Source organism: Homo sapiens, chromosome 6 (assembly GCF_000001405.40).
Source record: "Homo sapiens chromosome 6, GRCh38.p14 Primary Assembly".
Taxonomy (NCBI): domain Eukaryota; kingdom Metazoa; phylum Chordata; class Mammalia; order Primates; family Hominidae; genus Homo; species Homo sapiens.
This window is the reverse complement of record NC_000006.12, coordinates 167,408,558-167,422,745: the sequence shown is the minus strand read 5'-3', so window position 1 is coordinate 167,422,745 and position 14,188 is coordinate 167,408,558. Positions and strand designations below refer to the sequence as shown.

General features: G+C 47.4%; 1 annotated feature.

The window, feature by feature from the left end:
- Positions 2,311-2,605: a silencer, noted in NCBI's record as "tiled region #8873; K562 Repressive non-DNase unmatched - State 20:ReprD". NCBI's record gives its function as "represses a minimal TATA promoter and a strong SV40 promoter by Sharpr-MPRA in K562 cells {active_cell/tissue: K562}" and the evidence as "EXISTENCE:reporter gene assay evidence [ECO:0000049][PMID:27701403]".

Below are 14,188 nucleotides of genomic sequence, written 5' to 3'. Positions count from 1 at the left end.
GGGGGAGCCGCCGTGTGTGGGGGGGGGAGCCGCCGTGTGTGTGGTGGGGGGAGCCGCCGTGTGTGGTGGGGGGAGCCGCCGTGTGTGTGGGGGGAGCCGCCGTGTGTGTGTGTGGGGAGCCGCCGTGTGTGGGGGGAACCGCCGTGTGTGGGGGGGAGCCGCCGTGTGTGGTGGGGGGAGCCGCCGTGTGTGGGGGGAACCGCCGTGTGTGGGGGGGGAGCCGCCGTGTGTGTGTTGGGGGAGCCGCCGTGTGTGGGGGGAACCGCCGTGTGTGGGGGGAGCCGCCGTGTGTGGGGGGAACCGCCGTGTGTGGGGGGGGGAGCCGCCGTGTGTGGTGGGGGGAGCCGCCGTGTGTGTGGGGGGGAGCCGCCGTGTGTGGGGGGAGCCGCCGTGTGTGGGGGGAACCGCCGTGTGTGTGTGGGGGGAGCCGCCGTGTGTGGGGGGGAGCCGCCGTGTGTGGGGGGGGGAGCCGCCGTGTGTGGGGGGAGCCGCCGTGTGTGGGGGGAACCGCCGTGTGTGTGTGGGGGGAGCCGCCGTGTGTGGGGGGGAGCCGCCGTGTGTGGGAGGGAGCCGCCATGTGTGGGGGGGAGCCGCCGTGTGTGGGGGGAACCGCCGTGTGTGGGGGGGGGAGCCGCCGTGTGTGGGGGGAACCGCCGTGTGTGGGGGGAACCGCCGTGTGTGTGTGGGGGGAGCCGCCGTGTGTGGAGTAGCCGCCGTCTGGAGGGTTGGAGACGCCTTGCGTAGTGGGGAGCCAGCATATGTGGATGAGCCGCCGTGTGTGGGGAGCCCGTGTGTGGGGGGGGGAGCCGCCGTGTGTGGGGGGAACCGCCGTGTGTGGGGGGAACCGCCGTGTGTGTGTGGGGGGAGCCGCCGTGTGTGGAGTAGCCGCCGTCTGGAGGGTTGGAGACGCCTTGCGTAGTGGGGAGCCAGCATATGTGGATGAGCCGCCGTGTGTGGGGAGCCGCAGGCTGTGGGGGGAGCAGCCGTGTGTTGGGGGAGCCGCTGTGTGCGTGGGGGAGCGGCAGTGTTGAGGGGAGTCACAGTGTGGGGGTGCCTAACACAAATTTAAAATAGACGTATGTAAAGGCGGAAAGCCAGTGGAGAAGCGGAGGTGAGGATCCGCGTGGGGGGAAAACAGCCCAGCCCAGGGCAAAGTCTATCTCTAGCACCGCCCTGGCATAGCAAGAGCAGCTCCCGCTTGCGCCTCTCTCCTGCCCTTTGGACACAGAAACCTGGAGGCCCCGGCCCAGCGCCAGCCAAGGCAGTGGAGGCACCGGGTGACCGGGCTGCGTGGGGATTGGAGCGGTGGCGGGTGCAGGCACGGCTGTGGCTGATGTCACCTGCGCTCCGCAGGCGCCCTGCTCAACGCAGGCAAAGCAGCTGCAGCTCCAGGACAGAAATGCTGGCAGAGAGGGCTGAGAAGCGCGCACAGCACGGGAGGCAGCACAGCACCTCCACCCGCCCAGGGGCTCCAGGGGGCCTGGGAATCAAATGGACATTAAGGCAGATTAACAGGAGAAAAGCTGGGATTGTACGTGCACATGGGAAACCCCTTGGGAAAATGAAGACACAAAGAAGCAGCGACAGCTGAACACTTGCCCACCAAGTCGCACAAAGCATAGTAAATTGTTTGAATATGACAAGACCCGGGGGCCCGGGCCGGCTCAGGGAATCGTGGAAGTAACTAGGCAGATAAGGGTCCGTCTGTCTAACAAGCTGGGGTTGCTTTATACACAGTCCCCTCAGCGCCTCAACCCTGTCTCTGGTGATAAGAAAGTTTTTTCCTCCTAGTACAGGGTGTACCCCTTCCACAGAGGTGGGAGGGGGGCAGGGGTGGTTAATCTCCTGCTTTCAGGAAGAAAAAGAAAGGTCGGGCGTCCTTCTTTCATCTATTGACTTCAAATGCCTTTAGCTCAAAATAAAAGTGGCATATTTTGATATTTTGAGGTGGTGTATTCTGCCACCCTTCAACAGTATTTTTATTTATTTATTTATTTTTTAATGCACCTGGCCGGGCACGGTGGCTCACGTCTGTAATCCCAGAACTTTGGGAGGCCGAGGCGGGCGGATCTTCTGAGGTCGGGAGTTCAAGATCAGCCTGCCTAACGTGGTGAAACCCCGTCTCTACTAAAAATACAAAATTAGCTGGGCGTGATTGGTAATCTCAGCTACTCGGGAGGTATGCACCCAAAAGTCAGTGTATTGCAGACACTCCAAAGGATGGAAGGCAGGAACTCAGTTATCTGTACACCTGTGTTCTCAGCAACACAGTTCACTGCAGACAAAACATGGCGACAGACCCAGTGTCCACCGGGGGTAAATGGATAAGGAAAACGCGGGCGTGCACGATGGAATATTATCTGCTTTGAGACCGGCTACTACAGGGCTAACCTCGAGGACACTGTGCTGTATGGCATGAGCCAGTCACGAAAGGACAGACCCTGAATGGCTCCGCTTCTGTGAGATCCCTGGAGGAGTCAGATTCCTAGAGACAGGAAGTAAAGCGGGGCTGCCAGGAGGGGGAATTGGGAGTGAGTGTTGACTGGGTATAATGTTTAAATTTGGGAAGACAAAAAGTTCTGGAGATGGATGGTGATGATGCCTGCACTACGATGTAAATGTGCATGATACCACTAAACTGGACCTTTGAAAGTGGTTAAACTTGTGAAATTTTAACGGCCATGTATATTTTACTACAGTTAAAAGGATAGAGTACTACACTATTCTGAACCTTGTTAATTTTTGTCTAAAATTTATTTTGTGGAGATCTTTCTTACTGATTACTTAACTTCTAAGGGACAGAGAATTCCTTATTTTATACAAGATATTCCAGAAAAGGAAAAACAATGAAAGCTGACCACCTATTTTATAAGGCAAACATAACCTCGATCCTAACTGAACACAGGCAGAATAAAATAAAATATGTGTAGGCCACTTTGACTGTTGAACAAACATCTATTGGTAAATGAATCCATCAATTTTCAAACTAGTTAAAATTAATTTAAAAATACACCATGATTGAATACGGTGTGTCAGAGAGCTATCAAGATGGTTTTTCGCCAGAAAATTTATCAATTTAATACATCACATTAATGAACTAAAGAAGAAAAATCATCTGATTTTCTCAAGAAGTGCAGAACATTTTGATAAAATTATCTAGCAATTTATAATTAAAACTCTCTTTAAAAATCTGCTTACTAAACATGTACAGTAAACACACTAATGGAGAAAGATGGGAAACAGGACAAGGTGTATTATTTAGAAACATGGAGAGAACTATCAGAAGAAACAGTAGCAAGAGCTGAAAACAGTTGCATCTGAGAATGGCAGAACTTTATTGATTGGCCCTCGACTGATAGACAAGTAGGTTGTTTCCAATCTTTGGCTATTATAAATTCTTCTGCAATGAAAAATGACTGTGTAAACAACATTCCACATGTGAGCATGTGAGCAAGGCTATCTCAAAAAAAAACAAAATCCTAAAGCGAAATTCTCAAATTTGTACTTGCAAATTGGGGAAATACTGCAAATTGCTCACCATGGAGTTTGCAGCAATTTATATATGCACCGGGACAGCATGAGAACTCCCGTCTGCACGCCTCCCAGCAGCTTCACCTGTTGCTTTTTACCAATCCAACAGATTAAATACACCTGTTCAGTTTAATTTGCTTGTGATCACTATGAACAACGTTGAGCCTCTCTTCATATACTCAAGAGCCATTGGTATATCATTTTGCAAAATTTTTATTCATACTTGTTGCCAATTTTTTGATCAAAATGTTGAATTTTTTCTTCTTTTTTTCTTAATCAATTTGGTCTTATATATTAGGAAGTTCAGTCTCAGTTGCTATTTGTCTGTTGACTTTTATGTATGACATTTTTCTTGCCTTGAAGGTTTCAAAAAATTCGTATGTGGTCAAACTTACTAATCTTGTCTTTTATGACTTTTCAATTTCAGGAAATAATTTAGAAATCTTTCCACATTCCAAATGTATAAAGGAATTTTCTTTCATATGTATATGTGTGTGTGCAAAGATATATATCTTTTAGCCAAAAAAAAGTTATTTTAAATAATATATTTCTGGATTAAACTTCTCTTATTGGAAGTCTGTATTTGCTATTTTCTAGAAGCTGTTTTTGTCCCTCTGAGCAGATAGCTTTGAGGGCAGTGATGACTGGGTGAAGAAAGAAACAAACTTTTTAGCAAATAAAAAATGGCCTGTTGAAAGTTTACCATAAAAAAAAAAACGATATTTGTGGAAGTAAGAAGAGAGTCTGGTGAGAAGCTTGAAGTTGAGACTCAGTTTTGAGTTCAGGTCATGTATTGCTTATGTAACTTGGACGAATGTCAGTTCCCCTATCATCGACAATGTAAGGGTCTTACATACGTAGCTCCCCTACCTCATCTTATCCAAGTGCCACGAAGGAGACAATTTTTCCTAATTCTGCTATTAGAGATCTTCTCTCATGAGTGGCCAAGGATATATGAATAGGCAACATCCATGATGGCCAAAGATTTGACAGTCATCCAAAAGACTGTCAAAAGGAGAATGGAAAAAAACAAAAACAAAACAAAAAAAAACCTGTTTTTTCCAGAGGATATGATGGTGTAAAACTTCTAAAATCAGAGAAGCACATCCACATGGACTCGAATTGCAGGATTATATACTGCAAAACTAAAACACTACGAAACAGAGCAAGTTACAGAATAGCATCTAGAAAATGATATTTTTGCATTTTAAAAAAGTTTTGAATGGACTCATTGAATGGATAAACCATAGGGTGATGAAGGGTGGAGAGGAAAGGGAGAGAGGGAGAGGTAAGCTGTTCAGGGTAGTTGGCAACCCTGGGCAATGAACATGATGTGGAGTGAAGAAACATAGGGAAGATCTTAGACTTTATTTTTTACAAATGATCAAAGATTGTACATTTCTTTTAAAACCACTTTGTTGAGGTATGGTTGACATGTAAAAAGTTGTGGCTATTTAATGTATATTAATATGTACATTTAATATGCATTACTTTTTTAATTAAAAAACCCACATTTTTCCTAATGGTAAAAGCAAATTCCATAAAGAGTTAAGGTAGTTTTGTAAAAGAAAAGGAATGGTGTTCACACTGCTGGTCGGTAGTCTCCTGCGTATAATAAGAAAGTGAGATGACGGCCCAAGAATATGCAAGATGCCAATGAGACCCAATAAGAAGTCCAGAAACCTATTGCACAAGGGAACTTGTTTGGAATATTTGTGGCACAATCACAGATTAATGGGAACAGAGTGATCATTTAGTAGATGGTGTTAGGAGGCACATCTATAGAGAAGACAATGATTCAATTCCTTTTTCAGCCCATATATAGAAGTAAACCTCAAATGGATTAAAGATAGAAATATGAAGGGTAACACTTTAATAGAAGAAATTGTGTGCAGGCATAACTGTAAAGTTGCGATGGGAAAGGTATCTTAAGTAGGATGCCCAGGTTACAAACCCTAAGTGGTAAAAACGATGGCTTGATGACATCATAGTCACAAAAGATACAGATGGGCAAAGTGAACAGATGGGCGGCAGATGTCTCGCAATACTGAAAACAACAAGTAATTAATATTTTCAATGCACCAGGAACACTTGCTGATCAAAAAGAAGACGTTCAACTCAGAAAAACAGGCACATTTACAAAACAATTGGTTCCAAAGGAGGAAGCATCAGCAGATAACAGCAGAGGAGGACGTGCTCATCTCACTAGTGATCAGAAAAAAGCAAACTCACACACCCATGAGAAGCCAGACTGGCAAAGACGTGGGCATTGCATGGGACATCTCACGGCACCGAATCGTGAAGCCCAGACACTTGCTCCTGGGGTCAGCAGCCTCATGTCTGGCACAAACCCAGAGGAAGCCGTGTCTAGCCCTGTGAGGAAGCCTCCCAGGAGGTGCCCTGCTCTGAGGGAGCAGGAGCCCCAGGCAACTGGGTGTCCATCCATGCTAGAAAGTAGGGGGAACACACTGTCTGCAAATAGTGGTACATTTCACAGAGGAGCATGAAATAGATTCGATGTGCAAGGAACACCACAGAGATCATAAAACACAGGGTGAATGGGAAACAGGAAGAACAGACCCATATTTAAAGCACACACTTAATTTACATACATTGAAAACATGCAGACAGATATCATATAATCTATCTTCAAGGACCCATACATATGTAAGGATATAAAACAAAATAGCTGGGGCCTGTGACAGCAAAGAGAATGAGAGAGGCTGGTGTAGGAAGAAAACAATACAAACAAAAATGTCCACTGCCCTCTGTCAGGCGTTGTTCTATGTGCTTTGCGGCTCCCAACACAGAAGCCACAGTTTCATTCTCACAGTTCTTATTTGGTAGAAATTATTAAAATGGGCACAGATATCAGGTTCACTGAGAAAATATATTTTCCAGTAAGAAATTGTTCGAAAAACTATTTAAATAAAAATCCTAACGAAGGGCTCAAGGGAGGAAGTTTAAAAGCTATTTTCTTTAAAAATAAAGTTTCTTTCATGTTTGATGAGTCCCATTACAATGTAGGTCAAGGCAGGTGTGAAGATGTTTTCTCCACGTTCCCTCAAATGAAAACAATCCAGGTGGAATGCAGCCACCCTGACCATCTTCCCCAAGGTCCTGTTTTCCCTGTTCTGGGGCCTCAGGCAGCCCACCAGCCCCCCCACGCGGGACTGCTCACCTGCCCTCCATCACACTGCCCCAGTGCTGATAATGCAGCTTGTTTGGGAAGATGAGAGAGTGGAACAAAGCTGGACCCCTGGAAGGAAGAGGGACCTGGAGGCGAGGGGCAGGACACAGCCAAGGCTGGGCCCAGTTGGCCTTTCAGGCAGACACGGTGCCCCAGCCTTCTGCAGCGACCAGAACTGCAGCCCTGCAGAGGCGGGAGGCCCCCGCTGCCCACCCAGAGCAGAGAGGAGCACTGAGTCCCTGTGGCTTCCCTGGCTCCTGTGTCCTGGCTGCCTGGCCTTTGGTTTCTTGTGTCCTCACCAGCTGAGACGGCTGCTTCCCTGCTGCGGCCATGTCCTTTCTGCTGGAGCACAGCTGAGGCTGCTGGCTCTCCTGCAGCGGAAACCCCAGGCTGCCCCGGCTATACGCAGGCCCGCTGGGTGTGAGCCCTGGACCGGGCCTGGGAAGGCCATTGGTCTGCAGGGCAGGCTCTGCCGTGCAGCAGGCTCTGGCCGAAGCGGTGGCATCGTGCGGGCCCTGCCCACCACAGGCTCCCCAACCCTGCCTGCCCCCTCCGTGCCTGGAAGCCCAGTAAAAAAAAGCCTTGCACTCCAGAAACAGGTGCACGCATCCCTCATCCCAAATCTCCCTCATTTTCCTCCCCAGGATGCGTCTCCTCGCAAAACACATTGGGAAGAAAGCTACATAGTGTTTTGAAAAGAGAAAGAACCGATGTTCCTTAACATTAATGTAGATAACTTTGAGAAAATGTGATGGAGAGGAGGACCTAGGCAGCAGAGTATGGCTGGGCCGGAATGGCTTCATTTCTTCACTCAGCCTCTCTTGCTGCCATGGGTCGGGGGAAACTGGACGACCGAGGAGAGACGTGTGGGAACCTCCGCACTTTCCATCTTTGAGAACGATAAGAAATTGTCATGCAGGACAAGAGAATTCTACATACCACAGTAATTATCCCAGACCTAGGGGCTGTCTTAAGACTATCAAGGAAAACAGCAAGAACAACAAATGCCTTAAAACCAACCTGTTACAGCTTTGGTGTTTCTGCAATAAGCCTTTGCAGATGTCGTTTACTTACTCGCTTGTGGATTTAAGAGTGCCACTAGTTAAATATTAATACAAGAAATGTTCTTTTTAGCAGTAACCATCCTTACTCTTTTCAAATGAGTTATTTTAATGAAGGCTCACAATTAATAAAAAGTCAGAGCTGAAACCAAGTTATATATACTGCATGAATTTCAATCATCACAAAGGAAAATTTCCTTTTTAAAATTGTAATGTCTGGAAATAAAACCTGTGAAAAATGATAACATTTTGTATAAGTCAAAACACACTGCACATAACTTGCTTATTCTTTATGAAGGTAAGACAAAAATTAAAGAATTGGGTATCACTATACAGAAATGTAATAATTCAGCTGTTTTACATTTTGTTTAAATTGTGAAATAATTTGTAAGTGTGCCTCGATACACAATTCATTAATTGTAAGAAGCTCAGAGTAGATACAGTTTCATCTGAGATTAACAAATGAGATCTACTTTAAGTATAATAATGTAATAACTAATAATAACGATGTTATAATTCTTTGGTCGCTAACCTGCTAAGTTAGTTATATACATCGATAATCTGCTTCCATAGAATAGAGTCATGGGTTGCTTAATGATGGGGATGTATTCTGAGAAATGCACCCTTGGGTGAGTTTGTCATTGTGAGAACATGGCAGAGTGCACTGCCACACACCTGGGTGGTGCAGCCCGTCACACACAGAGGCTGCCTGGGGGAGCCTGTTGCTCCCGGGCTGTAAGCCTGCACAGCATGTGACTGTACTGAATACCATAGGCAGTTGTAACACAATGGTAAGGATTTGTGTATTTAAACATAGAAAAAGTACAGTGAACATAGGGTATAAAATATTTTTTAAAGGATGCACCTGTATAGGGCAGTTGCCATGAATGGAGTTTGCAGGGATGGAAGTTGCTCTGCGTGAGCCAGCGAGCGAGTGGTGAGTGAGTACGAGGGCCTCGGACATTACTGCACATCTGTAGACTTTATAAACACTGTGCACTCAGGCTACACTCAATTTATTTTGAAAGGTGAAGTAATTGTCCTCTAATGTTACGATGGCTGCAGCATCACAGGCGACGGGAATGTTTCAGCTCCGTCATAATCTTATGGGAGCATTGTTGCATGTGTGCTCTATTGTTGAGTGAAGCATCTTTATGTGGCACGTGACTGTACAGTTGAAAGTAAAGGGAGACAGATTTGTCATAGGAAAGAGGTTTGGGGAAGAGCTTTGTGTTCTCTGGAGCAAGCGTCCTGCCCACACTCCCAGAGGCCATCATCGGTAAGAGGCTGGGAGGATGAGCCATAGATCTCCATGGAAGCAAGGAGCTTGTAGGACGGGGTGATTGTGGTGTGTGCCCCGTGACCAGGTCACATTCAGAATCAGTGTTCCTTGTCCTACATCACCCAAGAGTCACCAGGCAGAATTCCACTAGCTGTCCTGATGGACACCATGACCTCTGTGTGTCTGCTCAGAACGTGGGCTCTGAACGTGCCAAGAGCATCACACATTTTTAGCAAGTTTGGAAACTCTGGTGTGATTTGTCTGAATCATCACCGCCCTGTCTTGATCATGTAAAACACTTTTTCCCTTTGGTCAAGTATAGTATAAGTCATAAGACCTGGCCCCCTCCTAAGATGGCCCACCTTAGGGACAGCCATTCCCTTCAGGGCCCACTTTCTGCGCCCACGGACTCAGCAGGCCTCTCACAAGCTGCCAGGTGCTGACATTCACCAGGGTGTCTTGCCACAGTGGCCGCCATGACCACCCTAGACATACAACGTCCTACCCCAGTACATCAAAAGCATTTCCACCTGTGGCACTGTCATTCATAATGGCTGAGTGTGATTAAGAACTGCCAATAACAAACCACTCCTCTTGCAGTTTCTAATTTTTCCTTATTAAAAACACCTCTGATATGAACATCTTACCTATAGTTTTTTAACAAGAGAAAAGCACGCAAATTTATTTAATATAGTTTTACATGACATGGGAGTCTTCAGAAATGAAAGTCAAAGAAACAGGGAAACCTGTGCATTTTTAGAAAGAAGAGCGTGTGGAGTCCTCATTAGGGAAAAAGAACCAGGCTGGCAGGAGCAAGGAAAAGCAGAAACCGAAGGCAGATAAGCCACAAGTCTGCCTTTCTCCATGGTCCAGGATACACAGCTCTCCTGAGCAAATAACTCACAGTCTTCCTGTGTCTAGCTATGCACGTGAGCTCACTGCAATCCTGGAGTGATCCATGCTGCACAAAGCCGTCTTCAACACGCAGCTTAAACACCATCCTGGACAATCCCAGCAAACCCTGGTCTCCTGGGAGTCAGCTTTTCTCTTGCCAGTTACTCGTTGCCTTGTTGCATGTTCCTACTTTCTCTAATAAATCTGCCTTTCTTTACCTACAGCTTTCTTGGTCAATTCTTCTTCCCCCTGCATCACTGGCCCTGACAGCTGTCACTCACCTGCAACAGAGTGGACAGTTGTGGGGAAGTATGATGGGACAAAGGCGGCATGCTTTAATGGTGATAAACCGGGACAACCTGTCAAGGTCTGTGCGTTCAGATTCTTCTCTGTGTCCCTTCGTCGTCAGAGATAAAGCTGCTCCTTTCCTGTGGGTAAAGGAAGATCACCTCTGGATTGAAGGGCCAATGAATCACCTGCTTCAGGGAAGAAGGATGGAAGTAGGTCCGAGAGTGATCATAGGTTTTGCTGTTTTCTCAAATGCCAAGGGGCCATATTTTGGGGTAGCATGTCCTGAACCCCATCAGTGGTGAAAACTTGAGTTTCTACAAAGTTCCCAGGCAATGCTGCTGCTGCTGCTGGTTTCAAGGTCACATTTTGAGAAATATGGCTTTAGTGTAATTTGTATCTGACCACCGCTGCGGTATTCTCATTTTCCATAAGCATCGAGAACACTGTGACAATTCCTGTCAAACGTTAGAATCTTCAGGAAGTCCAGTTTCATTTGAGGTCAGTAAAGATGGGAAAGGGGCATATCTTAGTAATCTTTGCATAATCTTTGGCACATTGCAATGATGTTTTGCAAATAGTAGGGCTCAAACGTGTGATGCATTGAATACTCGTTAGAATATCAAATAATCACATGGTAAATATAAGTTTCTTATTTAATCAGCCCTTAATAAAATAAAATGGATTATGTTCTTGAGTTAGAAAAATGTATAGGAAGGGCCGTCAGAGAAAAATTAACTTAAGTTCATCAAGTCCATCAACAATCTTCCCTCATGAACGTCTTACATGTAGTTTTACTTGTTATGAAAAGACTATGAAAGTCTCTTTTATACTTTGTTGATTTTTTTAAAGAAAGATGACAAGAGGAGCATCTAACCTCCATCCCTTTTTAGCATTGATCCTGTGGTCATCTCGACACCCTGCCTGGCTCGCATTTCTGCTGAATCTGATTATTAAAGCAGAACATGTGGCTGAAAGGGGTCTTTATTGCCCTGGGATTTCCTGGGTAGGGTATTCAGACCCACAAAGGAATAGGATTTCTGTTCTCTCCTTTTAATGGCTATTTCTCATTCTCCTGTCCCTAGGAAACATTTTCATTCTTATTCAACAACTCTCTGGGTAAACTGAGGCACCGATTATATTTACATTAGCAGAACTTCAAGTTGTGTAAGCAAAGTAAACTAGAAAATAATCTGGCACTCTTGACAAATTCAAAATATAAATCTCCTAACACTTCCATTATGTACACAAAATAAGCATTCTAGCCACTCACTGGCCCAGCTGAATGCCATTAGGTTATCAGCTAAGCAGGAGAGTAGAGCCCAGGTTGTATTTCAGAAAAGGGTGTGGCATAATTCAAAAGCTGTGAGCAAGTTTTCCAAATTTCTTGAAACTGTTTTCACCTCTGCAAAACAGCCATATAATGTCTGCCTCCTATAGTTATACCTAAATTACTTTGTTATGAAACTGCCTAACAAGGGACTAATTCAAACAAACACAAAAAGGTGGTTTCTTTCCTCCTCTCCCTTTTTTCTCCATGAGAGTGCAGAACAATGAGTAGAGTTCATGCTTTAAAAATACAAATACCAGGCCAAGAACAAAGAGAAGGCACTTCTGGAGGATGGGGTTATATCGGTGTGTTTAGAGACATTGTGTAATGATGGGGTCTTTGTGTCCACGCCCGGGGTCGCCTACCTGTGTCCCATGTGGGAGGGGCCACAGCAAGGACGTGGAATCTAAGGGAGCTGTCAGGAAGGTGAGCTGTCTGACTGTGAACTTGCCATGCAGAGCGCACTGTTGCTGAGAGCTCTGGGCTCTCCTCCCCAGCCAGCCCTGCCTTGCTTTCTGGGCGGGACCTTCACTTCCTATTCTTGCCTTGAGCGTCTGCCTCACTGATGTCAGAGCTCCCTTGTTTCTTGTTTGGGTGGGAATCTCCCTTAGACCCTGAGTCCTTCACACCAGGGGATGCGTTTTACTCCTTCCATGTGACTGTCTCTGCTGGATGGGGTATTGGCTCCATGCCCGAGAGGGCTTCTCCAGTCTATAGATGCGAAACGACATTTGTGTCGCAAGATTCAAGACCAACTGGGAGTGTAGGGAAATGTTTCTGGAGGGGATGGGTCTTCACTTATATCTCCGTGAGGGAGGGCTGTGGTGTGGATGGAAAGAAGGCTCCTGTTCCTCAGAGTTAGTGCTTTTGGGATCAGAGTCTATGGTACCGGAGTCCAAGGGCCTAAGAACAGCAACCAAAATGTGTCCATGGCCTATCTTGGAGCTAAAGTCTTATCTGACACTCACAACAACCACCAGGAGAAGGGGAAAGGGAGCCCCATGGGACTGAGTGAGGTGTCCAAGGACGCAAGCTGGAGCAGGTCTAGACCCAGGCCTGCTGTCCCTGAGCACCTGCTGTCCCTGAGCACCTGCTGTCCCTGAGCACCTGCTGCCCCCTGAGCACCTGCTGTCCCTGACCGCCTACTGCCAACTGAGCACCTGCTGTCCCCTGAGCACCTGCTGCCCCCAACACCTGGTGTCCCTGAGCACCTGCCACCCCCTGAGCACCTGCTGCCCCCGAGCACCTGTTGTCCCTGACCATCTGCTGTCCCTTTGCACCTACTCCTGTTGCTGTTCTGCCCGGCCTCCTTGGAAGGAGGAGCCACAGGGATTGACAATGATGACAGGGTTGAGGCCAGACCCTGAGCATCCTCGAGACCGAGCAGGAGAAAGCTGATCCCTGTAAGAGTTTGGGGCATTGGAAGAGGAGCCGCCAGGTCCTGGAATCTATTAGGATGATCCTGTGGGAATACTTGGCATGGGAGGCTGTTTTCACAGGTGTGGGTAGAACAAGTCGAAACCCTTGAGCAGGAGGTGAAGCTAGCCCAGGAAGAATAATAAAAGTCCACAGAAAGGGTGAAATTCCACAACAGTGCCAGTCTCCTGGAGCAGGCCTTGCCATCCACCACAGCGAGGGCTGGCTGTTCCCTCCTGCCATCTGGGGAATGCCTCCGCTGCTGCAGGAGACGCTTTACACGTAAATCCACCCTGCAGTCATCCCGTGGTGGGCCTTTGCCGAGGCAATTGTGAGAACTATTAAGGTTCAGGGTAGGATCCTTGATGGAGTGCATCACGGAGGCCTCAGAAGTGAAGACGCAGCACTGATGATAACGTACAAGCAGAGAGCGCCTGGTGACAGGGCAGCCGAGGGCACACACAGGAGTCACTGTATTGTGGAGCAGGCAGGAGAGCATGGAACACAACCCTCATTTGCATCCCACACCCTAGAATCTGCAAGGACATGACAGACTGGAAAATATGCTTTCACAAACCCACCAGAAGTGAAGCTTAGGCAGCAAAGCCCGCAGCTTCCGGGACAGTCACATGAGCCTGAGCCCAGATCGCAGCACATCCAGAGACCAGAGCCAGGCCTTGGAGTTCTGTGACAGCCACTGCAAATGACTGTGGGCACCGCAGGTCTCCACCAGCCCTGTGCCAAGCCGGTGAGGATGCCCTGCCATCTTCAAGGCTCACTGAGGCGGCGGGCTCTGGGTGCATTCACACATGGATTCAAAACCTGCCTCCGGGTTAGTAGCTGTGCTGGATAAGATGCCATGTCTCTGTAGGCCTTGACTTTCTTATTAATAAAATGGAGATGGCAATGGCACCTGCCTCACAGCATCGGACAGGACTATTTTATATTAGAAACTCAAAGTGTTCCATTAAAAGCTTTTAGTTTTAACTTCCACTCATGTTGGACATGGGTTCCTGGCTCGAGAAGCGAGAAAGTGCACCCGGGGCTCTTGGCTGCAGAGGTGCTCCCCAGGCCTAAGCTGCTGTTTGTCTCCAGGTGGAGACGTGTCGAGGCTGTGGTGGGAGCTCAGGGACCACCCCTCACCAGCATGCCGCATCCTGTCTTGTGGCTGGGTGCCAGCACCTCCTGGGCAGAAG